The 21,166-nt window shown below is 38.7% G+C and overlaps 1 long non-coding RNA gene across 2 annotated transcripts in view; it reads right to left on the bottom strand.

Annotated features, from left to right (window-relative positions):
- Positions 1 to 21,166, bottom strand: part of LOC107985511 (uncharacterized) — a 79,588-nt gene that overhangs the window by 18,951 nt on the left and 39,471 nt on the right. The window contains exon 2 of one of the 2 annotated variants that reach the window (XR_001754975.1): positions 2,470 to 2,689. The exons of the other annotated variant lie outside the window; for it this stretch is intronic. This is a non-coding gene — a long non-coding RNA (uncharacterized LOC107985511). The remainder of the gene's footprint in view (positions 1 to 2,469; positions 2,690 to 21,166) is intronic. 2 annotated transcript variants of the gene reach the window in all.

The raw sequence follows: 21,166 nt of genomic DNA, 5'->3' as shown, positions 1-21,166 counted from the left end.
TTTTCCAGTTATATATAATAGAAAGGATTTGAAATTCAGATTCAGAAACCTTGAATTCAAGTTCTGGCTTTGATCCTTTCTGACAGCATGTCCTTGGGCCTTTGTTTTCTCAGCTCTAAACCAGACTAATAATATGTATGTGTCCTTCCTAAGTCACAAGATTTTACAAGATTCTGAATGTTACATGTGAAAAGAACTTGTAAACTACGAAGTACAAACAAGTGCTACTATTTTGCAAGTATAGTTGATTGAGCTCTAACTATGTTATGGGTCAACATCATAATACAGACTAGCACACATTTTATTACATAATTATTCTATCAGAAAATATTTTTTATTAGCTGGGCTCTATTTTTTTCAGAAAAAACTTTTAACATGCCAAAGAGATTCATTTTTTATCAAATTGATAAACAGTTATTTTCCTTAGCATATGTGGATATGCAAATATATCTAGGATTTCGATTATGCTTGAAGACCTTAGCTAATGCAGAGAAAACATTGTTACATGTAATAGATCACCAGAACTTGGCAGATGCCTAAGGTCCCTTCGCAGGGAAAGGACTTCTCATCTTGGACTAATGCATGTAAGATCAGTATGCCTTATTTCAATCCTTTATAAAACTAGGGTATATTTCTGAATTGAAAAACTACAAGCACATTGACCAAGCAATTTCACTGGATCACTTTTATTTTTGATTTAATGGACAGAGTGACTTTCACTTGAACAATACTAAAATAAACAGTATGCATAGATGGGTTTACTAACTATACATTTTATTAATTATAGTACCATGGAAACTGGATTTTTACAGCTTGATAGAATATTCCATCTTACCTGCTAAATGGATGTATGATTTTTGGAATATTAAAATAATTTTCTTCAGTTCTACATTATACAAATTCAACCTTTTCTTGCACGATTATTTTTCTGTGACACAATGGATGATTATGCAAAGCCATTTATGTAAGTGAATTGCTCAGTGATATTACCAGCCAAAATTGTAGGTTGAGGTCAAGTGATGTCAAGTCATTATTTAAAGAAACAAAGACAAAGGGAATAAGACAAATCGTAGAGGAGAAATTTAATACATTTTGGCAACATGAGTAGGAAGGTCAGCAAAGGACAAGAAGCTCGAGTGATGTCATAATTGGCTTCAGTTCAGAAGTGGCAGAGTGGCAGTTAGCCAAAAAGGCACTTTGATATTGTTTGTTTATATATTGCTATTTAGCAATCCATATCCAGAAATGGAGATTACTGCACATAATTTTATGGTGGATGACTGAATATTGTGGTCACTGCTTTATTTTAAACTTTGTTTCTAAAATGTAATGATCATATCTTACTGTGAGCTCTCACTTTTAGGATGCATTTTCTCCATGCATGCAGCTCTGCAGGACCCTCTACAATCTGAACAGATTCAACTGCTGCAGATATAGTTGTGTGATGTGGTGATATGGATATAGGTTTTGAGTTCAGATAAAGCATCTAAGACAGAGTCTCATGATCTTTTAAAATTATAAATAATCATATTCCTGCAGCTTTCTGTCCTGTTTCACGGGTAGTACTTATGCTATTCCTCTAAAGAGGGAGAAAGGAATTGGCTGAAAGGATGTTTTCCTTTTTCAGATTCTCATTAGCTTGCATTGTGTACTTTATTCTTCTGCAGAGTGTGGCCACCTGAATAGATCTTACTCTGTCAGCTACAAAACATGTATTTAGTAACTGATGGATTTTTATTAGAGGTTTTAGATGACATTTTGGTTATATGTAGATATTATAGGGCACACTTGTCCAATAAGAATGTAATGGAAGCCACAACCATGATACATATATTATTTTAAAGTTTCAAATCACCACATCAAAAAAGTTAAAATTAATAATATATTTTCTTTAACACACTATATCCAAGCCATTACATTTAAATATGTAGTTGAAAATAGCCCTGATGCTGCAATAGCTTGTCTGGAGGCTGCAACTGATACTTATTCTCTTATTTCTCTTCTACCCATTCAAGATTCTCTTCACTCTTGGTTAGCACCTTTGCTAGCCTAGGTGGCTAATCCAGTGGGTGATCTTGACCCTCACCCCTGTGGGCTATGAGCTGCTGGTTATCATTTTCTTCTTAGGCTATCCAGCAGCCTAACTACTTATTGTCATATCTGGACAGAAGTATCCACTTTGTCTTTCCCGTGATATCTCTTGCCTCCAAATGCCAAGCAAAAATCCTGGGGTTGGGAAGATGTCAGACAACTACTAAATATGTCTCTTCCAATAGAATGTGAAAGATAGAGGAAGGACTTACTGGGTTGTTCCATGCCCTGTTGCATCCATTGTAAACTAGACCAAATGAATATATTTATTACCATCTACCTCCACTCTGACATGGAGTTCTGAATAATTTTGAGTTTCTGTATAATCAATGTGACCTTAAAATTTTTGTGTATTCTCTATCTCCAGTTTATGATTACCTGAGTAAATGGTCATAGGTTTCTGTGAAGAAGGACTGGTTGAATCATCACCATATAATGTTGCCCACTCATTGTATAATGATTATTCATGGATTTGGCCTCTTCTTCAGTCACCAGATGCTCCAAGCAAAGGTTGAGATGAATCTTCAGAGGGAGATGTGCTATCTTGAAAGGCAGAAGTCTCTGCATCATCTTCAAGTAAAGGGGTGTATTCATGCTGCTGATAAAGACAAACCCAAGACTAGGCTATTTACAAAAGAAAGAGGTTTAATGGACTACCAGTTCCATGTGGCTGGGGAGGCCTCACAATCATGGTGGATGGCAAGGAGGATTAAGTCACATCTTACATGGATGGCAGCAGGCAAAAAGAGAGAGCTTGTATGGGGAAACTCCTGTTTTTAAAACCATCAGCTTGCATGAGACTTATTCAGCACCATAAGAACAGCACAGGAAAGACCTGCCCCCATGATTCAATTACCTTCCACAACACATGGGAATTGTGAGAGGTACAATTCAAGATGAGATTTGGGTGGGGGCAATGTCAAACCATATCATTCCATTCCTGACCCTTCTCAAATCTCATGTCCTCACATTTCAGAACTGATCATGCCCTCCCAACAGTTCCCCAAAGTCTCAACTCATTTCAGCATTAACTCAGAAGTCCACAGTCCAAAGTCTCATCTGAGACAAGGCAAGTCCCTTTTGTCTATGAGCCTGTAAAATCAAAAGCAAGTTAGCTACTTCTTAGATACAATGGGAGTAGAGGCATTGAGTAAATACAACCATTCCAAATGGGAGACACTGGCCAAAACAAAGGGGTTATGGGCCCCATGCAAGTCCAAAATCCAGCAGGGCAGTCAAATCTTAAAGCTCCAAAATGATCTCCTTTGACTCCATGTCTCACATCCAGGTCATGCTGATGCAAGTGGTGGGTTCCCACGGCCTTGAGCAGCTCCATTCCTGTGGCTTTGCAGGTACAGCCTCCTTCCAGGCTGATTTCATGGGTTGGCATTGAGTCTCTGTGGCTTTTCCAGGTGCACGGTGCAAGCTGTTGGTGGATCTACCATTCTAGGGTCTGGAAGATGGTGGCCTTCTTCTCGCAGCTCCACTAGGCAGTGCCCAAGTAGGAGCTCTGTTTGGGGGTTCCGACCCCACATTTACCTTGTGCACTGCCCTAGCAGAGGTTCTCCATGAAAGTGCCACCCCTGCAGCAAACTTCTGCCTGAACATCCAGGCACTTCCATACAACCTCCGAAATTTAGGTGGAGGGTCCCAAAGCCCAATTCTTGACTTCTGTGCACTGGCAGGCTCAACATCATGTATAAGCTGCCAAGTCTTGAGGCTTGCACCCTCTGAAGCTGCAGCTTGAGCTCTACATTGGCCCCTGTCAGCCACGGCTGGAGCAGCTGGGACATAGGGCACCAAGTCCCTATGCTGCACACAGCATGGGGACCCTGGGGCCGGAAACAAAACCACCTTTTCCTCCTAGGCCTCTGGGACTGTGATGGGAAGAGCTGCCATGACAGCCTCTGATACTCCCTGGAGATATTTTCCCCATTGTCTTGGAGATTAACATTCGGCTCCGTGTCACTTATGCAAATTTCTGCATCCAGCTTGGATTTCTTCTCAGAAAATGAGATTTTCTTTTCTATCAATTGTCAGGCTGCAAATTTTCCAAACTTTTATGCTCTGTTTCCCTTTTAAAACTGAATGACTTTAACAGCACCCAAGTCACATCTTGAATGCTTTGCTGCTTAGAAATTTCTTCCATCAAATACCCTACATCATCTCTCTCAAGTTCAAATTCCACAAATCTCTAGGGCAGGGGCAAAATGTCACTGGTCTCTTTGATAAAAAATAGCAAGAGTTACCTTTACTCCAGTACCCAACAAGTTTCTCATCTCCATCTGAAATCACCTCAGCCTGAATTTCATTGTCCATATTACTATCAGCATTTTGTTCAAAGCCATTTAACATGTCTCTAGGAAGTTCCAAAGTTTTCCTTATTTTCCTGGATTCTTCTGAGCCCTCCAAACTGTTCCAACCTCTGCCTGTTACCCACTTCCAAATTTGCTTCTACATTTTCGGGTATCTTTTCAGCAGGGCCCCACTCTACTGATACCAATTTACTGTATTAGTCCGTATTCATGCTGCTGATGAAGACATACCCAAGACTGGGCAATTTACAAAAAAAAGAGATTTATTGGATTTACAGTTCCTCATGGGTGGGGAGGCCTCACAATCATGGTGGAAGGCAAGGAGGAGTAAATCATGTCTTACGTGGATGGCAGTAGACAAAAAGAGAGAGCTTTTGCATGGAAACTCCCATATTTAAAATCATCAGCTTGCATGAGACTTATTCAGCACCATGAGAACAGCATAGGAAAGACCCGCCCCCATGATTCAATTACCTCCCACCAGGTTCCTCCTATTACAAGTGGGAATTGTGGGAGTTACAATTCAAGATGAGATTTGGGTGGGGACAAAGCCAAACGAAGGGAGCAGTGTTCATTTTTTACAAGGAAAAACGGATCCTTTCTGGTGGACCCAGAAGGTTTAAGAGAATCCAGGTATTCAAGATTTTATTGTATTTATTTATTTTTCTTGAGACAGAATCTCTCTCTGTCACCCAGGCTAAAGTGCGGTGTTGAAATTATAGTTCACTGCAACCTTCACCTCCTGAGCTCAAATGATTCTTACTCTGTCTTTTGAGTAGTTAGGACTACAGGTGTGCACCATGTTGACCCTGCTATTTCTCTCTCTCTCTCTCTTCTTTTTTTTTTGTAGAGACAAGGTCTCCCTATGTTGCTCAGGGTGGTCTGGAACTCCTGGCCTCAAGTAATCATCCCACATTGGCCTCCTGAAGTGCTAGGATTACAGGTATGAGCCACTAACCCAGCCATATTTAAGATTTTTGAGTCATACACCTGGATATTTTAATTTCATGTGTACTAATCAAAGTTTTGGTCTAGGCATTGCAGACTTGACTATTTTAAAATTTTACTTTCTCTGAAATTCTGCTGACTTTATAATTCAGTTCCTGGAAAGATTGTCAGTTTTATTTTTTTTTTCTTCACCTATAGTATTGCAGAAATTCTGTTTTTTTTTTTTTAATTATTATACTTTAAATTCTGAGGTACCTGTGCGGAATGTGCAAGTTTGTTACACAGGTATACATGTGCCATGGTGGTTTGCTGCACCCATCAAGCCATAATCTATGTTAGGTATTTCTCCTAGTGCTATCCGTCCCCTAGCGCCCCACCCCCTGACAGGCCCCGGTGTGTGATGTTCCCCTCCCTGTGTCCATGTGTTCTCATTGTTCAGCTCCCACTTATGAGTGAGAACATGTGGTGTTTGGTTTTCTGTTCCTGTGTTAGTTTGCTGAGAATGATGGTATCAAGCTTCATCCATGTCCCTGCAAAGGACATGAACTCATCCTGGTTTTATGGCTGCATAGTATTCCATAGTTTATATGTGCCACATTTCCTTTATCCAGTCTATCATTGATGGGCATTTGTGTTGGTTCCAAATATTTGCTATTGTGAACAGTGCTGCAGTAAACATGTGTGTGCATGTGTCTTTATGGTAGAATGATTTATAATCTTTTGGGTATATACCCAGTAATGGGATTGCTGGGTCAGATGGTATTTCTGGTTCTAGATCCTTGAGGAATCGCCACACTGTATTGCACAATGGTTGAACTAATTTACACTCCCACCAACAGTGGTGGGAAAACAGTGTAAAAGCATTCCTATTTCTCCACATCCTCTCCAGCATCTGTTGTTTCCTGACTTTTTAATGATCGCCATTCTAACTGGTGTGAGATGGTATCTCATTGTGGTTTTGATTTGCATTTCTCTAATGACCAGTGATGATAAGCTTTTTTTAAATATGTTTGTTGGTCACATAAATGTCTTCTTTTGAGAAGTGTTTGTTCATATCTTTCACTCACTTTTTGAGGGGGTTGTTTTTTTCTTGTAAATTTGTTTAAGCTCCTTGTAAATTCTGGATATTAACCCTTTGTCAGATGGATAGATTGCAAACATTTTCTTCTATTCTGTAGGTTGTCTGTTCACTCTGATGATAGTTTCTTTTGCTGTGTAGAAGCTGTTTAGTTTAATTAGATCCCATTTGTCAATTTTGGCTTTTGTTGCTATTGTTTTTGGTGTTTTAGTCATGAAGTTTTGCCCATGCCTATGTCCTGAATGGCATTGCCTAGATTTTCTTCTAGAGTTTTTATGGTTTTTGGTCTTACATTTAAGTCTTTAATCCAACTTGAGTTAATTTTTGTATAAGGTGTAAGGAAGAGGTCCAGTTTCAGTTTCCTGTATATGGCTAGCCAGTTTTCCCAATGCCATTTATTAAATAGGGGATCCTTTCCCCATTGCTTATTTTTGTCAGGGTTATCAAAGATCTGATGGTTGTAGATGTGTGGCATTATTCCTGAGGGCTCTGTTCTGTTCCATCAGTCTATATATCTGTTTTGGTAACAGTACCATGCTGTTTTGGTTACTGTAGCCTTGTAGTATAGTTTGAAGTCAGGTACCATGATGGCTCCACCTTTGTTTTCTTTTGCTTAGGATTGTCTTGGCTATACAGGCTCTTTTTTGGTTCTATATGAAATTTAAAGTAGTTTTTTTTCTAATTCTGTAAAGAAAGTCAGTGGTAGCTTGATGGGGACAGTATTGAATCTATAAATTGTTTTGGGCAGTACAGCCATTTTCAAGATATTAAGTCTTCCTATCCATGAGTATAAAATATTTTTTCATTTGTTTGTGTCCTCTCTTATTTCCTTGAGTAGAGGTTTGCAGTTCTCCTTGAACAGATACTTCACATCCCTTGTAAGTTGTATTCTTAGGTATTTTATTCTCTTAGTAGCAATTGTGAGTGGGAATTCACTCATGATTTGGCTCTCTGTTTTTCTACTATTGGTGTATAGGGATGCTTGTGATTTTTGGACATTGATTTTGTATCCTGAGACTTTGCTGAAGTTGCTTATCAGCTTAAGGAGATTTTGGGCTGAGACGATGGGGTTTTCTAAATATACGATCATGTCATCTGCAAACAGAGACAATTTGACTTCCTCTTTTCCTAATTGAATAAGCTTTATTTCTTTCTCTTCCTTGATTGCCCTGGCCAGCACTTCCAATACTATGTTGAGTAGGAATGGTGAGAGAGGGCATACTTGCCTTGTGCTGGTTTTGAAAGGGAATGCTTCCAAATTTTGCCCATTTAGTATGTTATTGGCTGTGGGTTTGTCATAAATAGCTCTTATTATTTTGAGATACATTCCATTGATACCTAGTTTATTGAGAGTTTTTAGCTTGAAGGGGTGTTGAATTTTGTTGAAGGCCTTTTCTGCATCTGTTGAGATAATCATGTGGTTTTCATTATTGGTTCTGTTTATATGATGGATTATGTTTATTGATTTGTGTATGGTGGACCAGCCTTGCATCTCAGGGATGGAGCTGACTTGATCGTGGTGGATAAACTTTTTGACGTGCTGCTGGATTCGGTTTGTCAGTATTTTATTGAGGATATTTGCATTGATGTTCATCAGGGATATTGGCCTGAAACTTCCTTTTTTTGGTGTGTCTATGGCAGGTTTCGATATCAGGATGATCCTGGCCTCGTAAAAAGAGTTAAAGAGGAATCCTTTTTCTTTGGTTTGGAATAGTTTCAGAAGGAATGGTACCAGCTCCTCTTTGTACCTCTCGTGGAATCTGGCTGTGAATTCATCTGGTCCCGGGCTTTTTTTTTTGGTTGGTAGGCTATTAATTACTGCCTCAATCTCAGAACTTGTTATTGGTCTATTCAGGGATTTGACTTCTTCTTGGTTTAGTCTAGGGAGGGTGTATATGTCCAGGAATTTATCAATTTCTTCTATGCAAATAAAGTGTACAGGTGTTTATAGTATTCTCTGATGGTAGTTTGTATTTCTGTGGGATCAGTGGCAATAATCCCTTTATCATTTTTTATTGCATCTATTTGATTCTTTCTCTCTTTTCTTCTTTGTTAGTCTGGCTAACAGTATATCTATTTTGTTAATCTTTTCAAAAAATCAGCTCCTGGATTCATTGATTTTTTGAAGTGTTTTTCATGTCTCTATCTCCTTCAGTTCTGCTCTGATCTTAGTTATTTCTTGTCTTCTGCTAGGTTTGAATTTGTTTTCTCTTGCTTCACTAGTTCTTTTAATTGTGATGTTAGGGTGTTGATTTTAGATCTTTCCCACTTTCTCCTGTGGGTATCTAGTGTTATGAATTTCCCTCTAAACACTCCTTTAGCTGTGTCCCAGAGATTCTGGTATGTTTTGCCTATGTTCTCATTGGTTTCAAAGTACTTATTTATTTCTGCCTTAATTTTGTTATTAACCCAGTAGTCATTCAGGGGCAGGTTGCTCAGTTTCCATGTTGTTTTGAGGTTTTGAGTGAGTTTCTTAATCCTGAGTTCTAATTTGATTGAACTGTGGTCTGAGAGACTGTTATGTTTTCCATTATTTTGCATTGGCTGAGGAATGTTTTACTTCCATTTATGTGGTCAATTTTAGAATAAGTGTGATGTGATGCTGAGAGGATTGTATATTCTGTTGATTTCGGGTGGAGAGTTCTGTAGATGTCTATCGGGCCCACTTGGTCCAGAGCTGAGTTCAAGTCTTGAATATCCTTGTTAATTCTCTATCTCATTGATCTGTCTAATACTGACAGTGGGGTGTTGAAGTCTCCAACTATTATTGTGTGGCAGTCTAAGTCTCTTTGTAGGTCTCTAAGAACTTGCTTTATGAATCTGGGTGCTCCTGTATTGGGTGCGTATATATTTAGGATAGTTAGCTCTTCTTGTTGCATTGATTCCTTTTATCTTTTTTGATCTTTGTTGGTTTAAAGTCTTTTATAAGAGACTAGGATTGCAACCCGTGCTTTTTTTGCTTTCCATTTGCTTGGTAAATCTTCCTTTATCTCTTATATTGAACCTATGTGTGTCTTTGCACATGAGATGAGTCTCCTAAATACAGCACACCAATGGGTCTTGACTCTTTATCCAATTTGCCAGTCTGTGTCTTTTAACTGTGGCATTTAGCCCATTTACATTTAAGGTTAATATTGTTATGTGTGAATTTGATCCTGTCATTATGTTAGCTGGCTATTTTGCCTGTTGTTTGATGCAGTTTTTTTCATAGTGTCAATGGTCTTTACAATTTGGTATGTTTTTGCAGGGGCAGGTACTGGCTTTTCCTTTCCATATTTAGTGCTTCCTTCAGGAGCTCCTGTAAGGCAGACCTGGTGGTGACAAAATCATTCAGCATTTGCTTGTCTGTAAAGGATTTTATTTCTTCTTCGCCTATGAAGCTTAGTTTGGCTGCATATGAAATTCTGGGTTGAAAAATCTTTTCTTAAAGAATGTTGAATATTGGCCCTCACTCTCTTCTGGCTTGTAAGGTTTCTGCAGAGAGATCTGCTGTTAGTCTGATGGGCTTCACTTTGTGGGTAACCTGACCTTTCTCTCTGGCTGCCCTTAATATTTTTTCCTTCATTTCAATCTTGGTGAATCTGACAATTTTGTGTCTTGGGTTGCTTTTCTCAAGGAGTATCTTTGTGGTGTTCTCTGTATTTCCTGAATTTGAATGTTGGCCTGTCTTGCTAGTCTGGGGAAGTTCTCCTGGATAATATCCTGAAGAGTGTTTTCCAACTTGGTTCCATTCTCCCTATCGCTTTCAGGTACACCAATCAAATGCAGGTTTGGTCTCTTCACATAGTCCCATATTTCTTGGAGGCTTTATTTGTTCCTTTTAATTCTTTTTTCTCTAATTTTGTCTTCACACTTTATATATGATCTTTAATTTCTCTGATATCCTTTCTTCCACTTGATTGATTCAGCTATTGATAGTTGTGTATGATTCATGAAGTTCTTGTGCTGTGTTTTTCTGCTCCATCAGGTCATTTATGTTCTTTTCTAAACTTGTTATTCTAGTTAGTTATTTCTCTAACCTCTTTTTTTAAGGTTCTTAGCTTCCTTGCATTGGGTTAGAGCATGTTTTTTTTTTTTTTTTTTTTTTTTTAGCTTGGAGGTGTTTGTTATTACCTACCTTCTGAAGGCTACTTCTGTCAATTCATCAAACTTATTCTTTGTCCAGTTTTGTTCCCTTGCTGGTGAGGAGTTGTGATGCTTTGGAGGAAAAGAGGCCTGGTTTTTGGAATTTTCAGCCTTTTTCACTGGTTTTTCCTCATCTTCGTGGATTTATCTACCTTTGGTCTTTGATGTTGGTGACCTTCGGATGGGATTTATGTTTGGACATCCTTTTTGTTGATATTGATGTTTATTAGTTTTCCTTCTAACAGGTGCCTCTGCTGCAGGTCTGCTGGAGTTTGCTGGAGGTCCACTCCAGACCCTGTTTCCTGGAGGTCCACTCCAGACGCTGTTTGCCTGGGTATCACCAGTGGAGGCTGCAGAGCAGCTAAGATTGCTGCCTTTTGCTGCCTCTGGAAGCTTCTTCCCAGAGGGGCACCCACCAGATGCCAGCCGGAGCTCTCCTCTATGACATGTCTGTCGACCCCTGCTAGGAGGTGTCTCCCAGTCAGGAGACATGGGGGTCAGAGACCCACTTGAGGAGGCAGTCTGTCCCTTAGCAGAGCTCGAGCGCTATGCTAGGAGATCTGCCACTCTCTTCAGAGCTGGCAGGCAGGAATGTTTAAGTCTGCTAAACCTGTGTCCACAGCCCTCTTTTCCCCCAGGTGCTCTGTCCCAAGGAGATGGGAGTTTTATCTATAAGCCCCTAACAGGGGCTGGTGCCTTTCTTTCAGAGATGCCTTGCCCAGAGAGGAGAAATCTAGAGAGGAAGGCTGGCTATAGCAGCTTTGCCAAGCTGTGATGGGCTCTGCCCAGTCTGAACTTCCTGGCAGCTTTGTTTACACTGTAAGGGGAAAACAGCTTTCTCGAGTCTCAGTAATGCTGGACACCCCTACCCCACCAAGCTCGAGCATCCCAGGTTGACTTCAAACTGTTGTGCTGGCAGCAAGCATTTCAAGCCAGTGGATCTTAGCTTGCTGGGCTCCATGGGGGTGGGATCCACTGAGCTAGACCACTTGGCTTCCTGGCTTCAGCCCTCTTTCCAGGGGAATGAATGGTTCTGTCTCACTGGCATTCCAGGTGCCACTGGGGTATGAAAAAAACTCCTGCAGCTAGCTCAGTGCCTGCCTAAATGGCCACCCAGTTTTGTGCTTGAAACCTAGGGCCCTGATGGTGTAGCCACTTGAGGGAATCTCTTGGTCTGCAGGTTGTGAAGACTGTGGGGAAAGCATAGTTTCTGGGCCAGAATTCGTTGTTCCTTATGGCACAGTCTCTCATTGCTTCCCTTGGCTAGGGAAAGGAGCTCTTTGACCCCTTGTGCTTCCCAGGTGAGGCGACACCCCACCCTGCTTTGTCTTGCCCTCTGTGGGCTGCACCTACTGTCTAATCACTCCCGGTGAGATGAGCCGAGTACCTCAGTTGGAAATGCAGAAGTCACCTGCCTTCTGCGTTGATCTCACTGGGAGCTGCAGACCGGAGCTGTTTCTATTTGGCCATCTTGCCAACCACCCTGGGGCAGAGATTCTTCATATGCTGCCAAACAATCCCTGTGGTTTTCACACTTACTTTAAATTGGTAATTAATTATCTCCAGTTTTCCATTGTCTTTCTCCAGTGAAATGACAGCCCTCAGCAACAGTCATTTCTTCCATAGTTTTTATAATTATTATTTTCCCCAAATTTCTCAAATGCTTGAGATTCTGTCCCCAGACAATGCTTTCTTTTCCGATCCCATTCATCTCAGGTGAAAGTCTTAACAATTTCATTGTTCTAATATGCCTGGAGCTAATAATGCTCTACCTATCACCAGTGATGGGGTCCTCACTGCTAGCCATCAGCAGATGACTCAGCTCTAAAATACCATTTTATATACTGCTTCTTAGGACCACTCCTGGCTTCAACTGCTTTAGGTCACCATTCCTGGAAACAGAATTTGAGGTGGAGATTTGCTTGCAGAAATTTTATGGGTGAATGCTCTCAGAAATTAGATTAGAAAGGATTGAAAGAAGCAGGATGAGGCAGAGGGAGAGGTTGAAAATGCCTTGTGATTGCAACAAAGAAGCTCTGGAGTTTATGGATCTTCAGATTTGTCCCAAATTAAAACATAAAGGATTGGTTTTCTTACTCTCATCTTTCCACCTTGCCAGTTAACCAGCCACTGGATGTAAACTGCCCCTAGGGCGGAGCATAACTTTGGGTTAGATGGTTTCCACATGCCAGGAGAAACACTTAGCTGTGAGCTATTAGCAGCCAATACTCCCAAAAGCTGATGCATTGGTCAAGAAAGGTACTTGTGGGTGGCATACCTCAGACCCACTCCATTAGATCCCAGGCTTGGAGTGATCTGCTTCAATGTAACACATTTTTGTGCAAAACGTTAGAGTGCACAGGATAACACTCTCAGGCTTTGTTCTCAAGGTAGGGGACAGACTTTGTGTCTGGAATCCCTTTCCCCAACCTAAATGTTAAGGATGAAATTCCCAAAGACTACTAAAATTATCTTCTAATCCCGGGGCAGTTATGTTTCTGTAAACTTGTGCTTTAATGACATGAAGGCTCTATCCCATTAGACTATTTGAAAATTGGCATAGTATATAGTACTGAGCAATCACTGGTATATTTCTGTCAATCGATGATAAAAATATCTCAGTGAGGAATAAATATCTAAACATGTGAGCAACGTTTATGATGGAGGCGTTATGCACAATGGAGAAGCCTTAAAAACCAGGTATCTCATTCAGTGTAACATTTGCATATAAATGACTTAATCAGGATGCAACATAGTGTGTTTAGAAAAATAGATACTCAGCATGCCCACTAGACTGCACCTATAAACACAACATGTCTCTGGACAAATCTTTTTGGACTCCTTAAGTTCAAAGATAAAATAGATCATGGGCTAGTAGATAAAAACATCTGTGACAGGCTTTAGTTATTTATGTAACTTAAGCACAGTTACTTTTGGGCACCAAGTCACATCAACCATCATGATCTGAAATTTCTGCTGAAGTTTTGCTGACAGTGAGAAATTTGAATGTTACCAACAGAAAATTATTTAATATAAATATTTGGTACACTTTGGTACCAAAGTGTACTTTTTCTCATCAGTTTCTTCCATTCTCTCTTCTTGACTCATTTAATTGCAAATAACTAGTACAGAGAATGGACCAACAGGCATACAAAGAATTGTAACACAAATGGACAGTGTCTTATTTGTAGCTTTTTGATGAAAGTGAATAAATGAAACCCAGTTGGATATCCTCCTGCTCATAAAATACTAGTGTAAATTTACTATATAGCTGTCTTATACTTTTTAATAGCTATATGAATATATTTAATATTATTCAAATATGCATAAGAAGAAGTAACCTCTGTATTAACTTCCTAGGATGTTCAGTTAGACACAATATCTCTGTTAGCCAGTATTAAGGCAATATCTCAAGTCATTGATGGCACAATAGACCTGTAGTCTTAGTTTTTTTTCTCTTCTCTCTCTGGATTTATGATACAGACTCTATTGGCCACTTTTCTGTCCTTATCCTTATTTTTCCCCTTCTGCAGAATTTGGCAGTATTGATTATTCCCGCTTTAGAATTATTTTCTCTCCTCTTAGGTTTTCTGCATGCACCACGGTGTCTAGATTACCTTCCAACCTCTCTGTTTATTCCTTCTAGTAATTTCTCTGTCTACATCCCATAACTATTGGTGTTACTCAGGAGTTCTACCTTTTTTCCTCTCTCTTCTTTCTGCCCTTGATAATTCATTCACTTACATGACTCCAACATGACCTATATGCCAATAACTTCCAAATCTATGTCTTTAGACATACTGGGCCATCTTTCCATGGATGTCCTATTGGCTTCTCACATTTTAGCCCAAATTGCATGACTATATATATACAGTGAAGTTCAGTTTGAATCATCATTAATTGAGAAACAGAAATGTAAGGTAAATTATAAACGAGATGTTTGTGTTCTATAACATCTCATTTTGTTCTCAGGCACACAGTCTTATCGAGGGCAGATAGCATGAGATCTTGCCAATTAAGCATGTATCAGTCTGTTCTGCATATTAGTCTTATTTTTTTTTTTTCTGGTAACTACTCAGTCTCCCAAAATTTCCTTCCACTCTCAAAGGTTCTTTTCTCCTCTTCCTTCTAATACAGTATTTGAGTGCAAAAAGAAGCTTTAATTGTCCTGATGACACTAGGGGAGGGGCATGTGGGCCAGAGCTCTTTTTCCATCACTGTTACTAACCTCCAGACACCTCGGCTAGTCTTTGGAACTAGCCTCTGCCTTTTGCAGGGTAGCTCAATCCACATGGTCTATCAGTATCCTGAGTTGATCTCCACTGGGGTGTGAGTTGTCCCACCAGATTTTTGTTGTGTTGTGCTGCATTGACTTTGTTAAAATTCTTATTTTGTTTACTTTTATTGATATATAATAGCTGGACATATTTTTGGGGTACATATGGTATTTTGATACATGTATACAATGTGTAATGATCAAATCAGGGTAATTGGGATATCCACCACCTTAGACATTTATCTTTCCTTTGTGTTAGGAACATTGCAATTTTTCTTTCCTAGCTACTTTAAAATCTACAATAAGTCATTGTTAACTATAATTTTTATATTCTACTTATGAATACTAGAACTTCTCTATTCTTTTTATCTAACTGTGTTTTTATACTCCTTCACAAACTTTGCATGTATCTTGATGATTTCTTTCCCCACCAGTGCCTTTAATTATGTGACTGGACCTGCAGAATTCCTGGTCTTTTCTACAGTCCATCCTTCCTACACCTGCCCAGCAGAATTATACTCCTCTCGCATGGCTGCCCTCAGGACCTCCTGTCTGGTAAGCTTCCTCAGTAATTGCTACTTTATAACCTCCATGCTATGATTGATATTCTAACCCCCCTTTTATTGGATTTTTAAAATTGCCTCGAATCTCCTTAGAGTAGGTCACCATAGAGTAGGAAATAATCAGTTCTGATGTATTGAGATATACTTGTCACTCCCAATCCCTCCAGGAGACTTGATTCCAGGATATGCCAGTTTCCATGTATCAGTAAGGGTCTTTGCAGAACCAGAGATGGCACAATCCAATTGGACAATTTCAGTAGAGTTTAATGGAGGGATTGTTTTTTAAGGCACTAAGAAGCCACAGGCAGTGTAAGACTCAGGCTAGAAGCAGCAGGATTTCTTGGCAGAAGCTGGGTTTCTTACTTCATAGATGCAGAAAATTGATCTGAAGGGAAAATGGAAGATATCCAGCAGGTTCAGCTTCCTGGTCTAGGTTAAGGAGAATACTAGGATTGAAAAAAGAGGCAGATAATAATTCTAAAAGAGAAAGAGAGAGAGAGAGACCTACCTTTTTGCAAAACCTATTTTTCTTCCAACATTACCTAGTACTTCATTATTCAAGCAGGAAATCGGAGAATCATTCTGGATTTCTCTTTCTCTACTTTTATCTCCTCACCATAGCTAGTAATGATACTTAACAGTGAATTCTTACTGTGTACCACAAATGGCGCTGAGTACTTTTACATGCATTATGTCAAGCATAATCTTATCCAGGAAGTACTATTTAACTGACACATAACTGAAGTTTAGAGGAGTTAGTTTCTTCGTGGTTTTATAATAGCAGAAGTAGCTGTAGACCCTAGAAGTCTAGTTTAAAGCCTGAATTGTTAATCTCCACAGTGTATTGCAAAGAACCAATTGCTAAGTTCAAATGTTGACTTTATTATCATCTCTTCATTCCCTTCTCGGCTTAAGCAAAGTTTTCCTAATGGATATACACATATCTACTCTTTTTCTGTCTCTAATCCATAACTCCTTACTGCTATTAAAGTTATGTTACTGAAAGAAAAAAAGCAAAACATAACCATATTACTCTTTGATTAACTCCTCATGTTAGTTACCTTTTGATGATAATATAAAGTCTATATCTATATGCCTTCTCAGAGCATGTGAAACTTACCACAGTCTAGGAATAGTTTATTTTATTGGTTCCATTTGTACTTTATTAGTTCCATTGTTTTTGACAAATCTCTCCAGATATACTCACCAACATACTTTTCTTTTCTTTCTTTTTTTTTTTTTATTTTTTGAGACACAATCTTGCTCTGTGGCCCAGGCTGGAGTACAGTGGCCTGGTCTTGGCTCATTGCAACATCTGCCTCCCATGTTCAAGCAACTTTCCCTGCCTCAGACTCCTGAGTAGCTGGGATTACAGGTGACCGCCAGCATGCTTGGCTAATTTTATTTTTTTTTAGTAGAGACAGGGTTTCATCGTGTTTGCCAGGCTGATCTTGAACTCCTGACCTCAAGTGATCTGCCCACCTTAGCCTCCCAAAGTGCTTGGATTACAGGCATGAGCCACAGAGCCTGGACCAACATACTTTCCTTTAATGATTCAAACTTATCACCATTTCCTAAACGTACTATATTCTTTTATGCCTCTTATATTTATTTATGTTTTTGCTAGAGTATCTGACCTACCTCCATTGACATCTTTTTTTTTTTTTTTTTTTTTTTTGAGAAGAGTTTTGCTCTAGTTGCACAGGCTGGAGTGCAATGGTGTGATCTCGGCTCACTGCAATCTCTGCCTCCAGGGCTCAAGCCATCCTCCTGCCTCAGCATCCCAAGTAGCTCGGATTATAGGTGCATACCACCATACCCAGATAATTTTTGTAATTTTTTAGTAGAGATGGGGTTTCACCATGTTGGTCAGGCTGGTCTCGAACTCCTGACCTCAGGTGATCCACCTGCCTCAGCCTCCCAAAGTGCTGGGATTACAGGGATAGCATTGATCTATAAATTACTTTGGGCAGTATGACCATTTTCATGATATTGCTTCTTCCTATCTGTGAGCATAGAATGTTTTTCCATTTGTTTGTGTCCTCTCTTATTTTCTTGAGCAGTGGTTTGTAGTTCTCCTTGAAGAGGTCCTTCACATCCCTTGTAAATTTTATCCCTAGGTATTTTATTCTCTTAGTAGCAATTGTGAATGGGAGTTCACTCATGATTTGGTTCTCTGTTTGTCTATTATTGGTGTATAGGAATGCTTGTGATTTTTGGACATTGATTTTGTATCCTGAGACTTTGCTGAAGTTGCTTATCAGCTTAAGGAGATTTTAGGCTGGGATGATGGGGTTTTCTAAACATACAATCATGTCACCTGCAAACAGAGACAATTTGACTTCCTCTCTTCCTATTTGGACCAGGTTTTCTTTTTTAACCTTGAATCATCTTGGTGGCCATCCTGGGAACCCTTTCCCCATTTTCCATGTCAGCCTCTGCTTGTTGCCTAAATGCTCATTAAAGATGTGGAGTGAGTATATGCTCTAATGGCTACCATGTCACTATCATGTTATAGAACTTACTTTACAAATTGATCACACTGTATTATTTCTTATCTATTTTTCTCACTTCTTTTCCCACTTAAGTGTACATATCTATTTTCATTTTTATTAAAATATATCTTTTCTCTATGTACAACCCATTTTATACCTGTAAACGTAATGGATATTTTTTCTCATGTAATATCTAGACCAGAAGTAGAAAACTCAGTTGCTGTGAGAGTCTAGGTAAGAGTAGAGTTTGAAACTGCCAGATAGAAGAAAATAGAGTGATGTCAGGACTGTAGAAAGAGGAATGCATGCTTCAACTGAAGGTATTACAATTTAACTTAAAACACTTCTCTGGCAAAAATCAATTTAAACATTTTCTACAGACCTGATTCTCTTCCTGATTTAAATTATTGACAAAAACATTGATAACATGGAGGCTCTGGAGACACTTTTGCTCATTTATTTATTTAACACACATTTATTGAATGCTTGGAGAGTTCCAGGTTCCCGTGTAGGTACCATGCCTGTAAATACTGATACTAATGCTAGCACTAACACTAATACTGATACTAATAATTTGTCTCTGATCCTTAGGTTCTTTGGGCCTAGTAAAACCGGCAGAAAAATACATGCCAAATTATAGTACTATGTGATAAAAGAAAATAAGTGGTAGGTTTCTAGAGGGCCTGGGAACACAGAAGAGGGGATGGGTGACACATGAGGGCTCAGTGCTTAACAAAAGAGTTAACCTCTTGCTTAAATCTCAAAAAGGAAATTTATGGTTTTGCTGAATGGGAAATAGTAGGTTGGGAAAGGTAGACAGAAAGCAGATATTTTGAAAATTAGGTCACACAGTGATTTTTTTAAAAAGAGAATTTTAACAAGAGACTTATATGTATAGAAACATTTCTACTTGTTACATCCATTAAGGTTGATAACGTTTAAAAAACAATGTTCCTCATAATGCTGAAGATAATTCATTCTAAGTTGCATTATTCTAAGGATTTTAAAAAGGAGAATCATTGTTTCATAGCTATTCATGATTAAGTTTGCATGCTGGTCTTTCTGGTGATTTCTAGAATACCAGAGAATGCTGACTAGTAGGACAAAGGGAAAAAAAGTGAAAAGATTCATCCTGTACATTGTTTCGAAGTTTCTTAATGAACATTTATACATTAAATGTTCCCTTTCCCACCCTTTTGTTCTTATAACTATTAACAATCATGGAGCATCGTTCTGTGGGACAGCATTTTATAAGGTGCTGATCTGTCCTATAACAAATCAATATAAAAAAGTGAAAAGTTATGGTCATTTAGGGGATATTTGGGCTATTCTGGCTCAAATAATAGTTCATTTAAAAATTCTTTTTATTGTACTATTAGCAAAAAGTTGTTAAGCATTTTACCAGCTCATTCCATTACTAAATTCACTTTTTATTGAAGAAGTTGAATTGAATAGTTGTTTTTGAAATGAAAACAGTCCTCATCAGGCCGGGTGTGGTGGCTCATGGCTGTAATCCCAGCACTTCAGGATGCTGAGGTGAGTGGATCACAAGGTCAGGAGTTCGAGATCAGCCTGGCCAACATAGTGAAACCCTCTCTCTACCAAAAATACAAAAAAATTAGCCAGGTGTAGTGGCAGGTGCCTGTAATCCCAGCTACTCAGGAGGCTGAGGCAGGAGAATTGCTTGAACCCGGGAGGCAGAGGTTGCAGTGAGCCGAGATCACTGCCATTGCACTCCAGCCTGGGAGACAGTGTGAGACTCTGTAAAAAAAAAAAAAAAAAAAAAAAGGAGCAGTCCTCATCTGCTACAAATAAAGACAAATGAAAAGTATTTGCAGAGATGACACAATAGAGTTATAATAATGATTAATCATGCCTCAGTGTCATCAGAAGTTGTTATTTGATGTTTGGTATTCTAAAAATATAAATAAAAACGATAGGTATTGCTGAGTATTCATTTTCATTTAATAAAATGAAAACTAGGTTTCTGCCTGTCAAGTGAAAAAGTGCATAAGGGCAAGGAAATAATGTATGACTCTTCAGACTGGTAGGGGTTTCCAAATAGAGCTAAATGAATTTTTAGGAAGTATAATAAAAATGTGATTGGTTTCTTTTAACTTTGGCAAGCATTTTTAAATTTCCTTGCCATGTTTCTTATTACAACGTTGTATAATATTTAAGGTTAGAAGTTAACCTATGAAGATCTGTTTTCAATAACATCTAAATTGTGACACTTGCTTACCCGTATTGCTCTTAAAGCTCTGTAGAGAACAAATGCAAGAATCTCCCTAGAGATTTTTCTTTTGCAAGGGAGTTTCGGCACTGCACAAGAACAGTAGATAGCAAACACCAAGGGCCATGTGACTCTCAGAGATGAACAGCTGGGCTGAATAAGAAGGAGAGCAAAAGAAAACAACACCCACATGTGTGAAAAAGTTGAGTTCAGCTTTGTTGGAACATCAAAAAGCAAGAAAACCCTAAAAGCACACTGACAGAGAACTGGTTAAATGTATTATTGTATAGACATAAAATAAACTACCCATTAAAATAAATGGTGTAATCCTCTATGTGCTGAGGAGAAAATACCTAATTTACAAGAAAAAAGAAAGAAAAAAGGAAACAAAAGCAAGGTACAGAACAAAGTGTCAAATATATTACTCCTTTTTGTCTTTAAAAAGATGTAGAAGAATAGATGGGCCTGGGAATTTTTTAAAAAGATATGTAAGAAATATTGATGAAGCTTACCTGTGAAGAATGAGATTAGGTATCTGGGTTGGCAATAAAACTTACTTTTTATTGTATAAACTTTTTGAATGGTGTGTATGTTTTTGTCTGTGTGTTCTATGGGGTTATTATTTTGTAAAAAAAAAAGTTAGCTAGACTATGACAAAGTCAATTTGGTGTTGTGGTTGAGCTGGGTGCAAGGAAGAGATTTCCTTTTGCGTGCACTATCTGTCCATTCTCATAAACATTATGAGCATTTCTAAAAGAGGCCACTGGGAGCAGTGGAGAATGCATGGACTTTGATATAGGGTAGATTTCAAGTAGCACATATTTAAATGTTGACTTTTATTAGTAGCGATTGACTTCATACAGCTGAACCATGACTTCCCCATTTATAAAATGGAAATAATTCTTATCTTGTGTATTAGTATTAAGGAAGTGTCTAGCTCAGTGCCTGTTGTTATGGTTTCTATCTATTAAATTGCCATCTTTCTTTGGACCGTTTTAAATTTTATTAGTCTCATGCAATATGCCATTTATTTCTTTTCTGG

Source organism: Homo sapiens, chromosome 21, assembly GCF_000001405.40.
Source record: "Homo sapiens chromosome 21, GRCh38.p14 Primary Assembly".
Lineage (NCBI taxonomy): Eukaryota > Metazoa > Chordata > Mammalia > Primates > Hominidae > Homo > Homo sapiens.
Note: the sequence above shows the minus strand (reverse complement) of the source record. Positions and strands in the feature narration are given on the sequence as shown.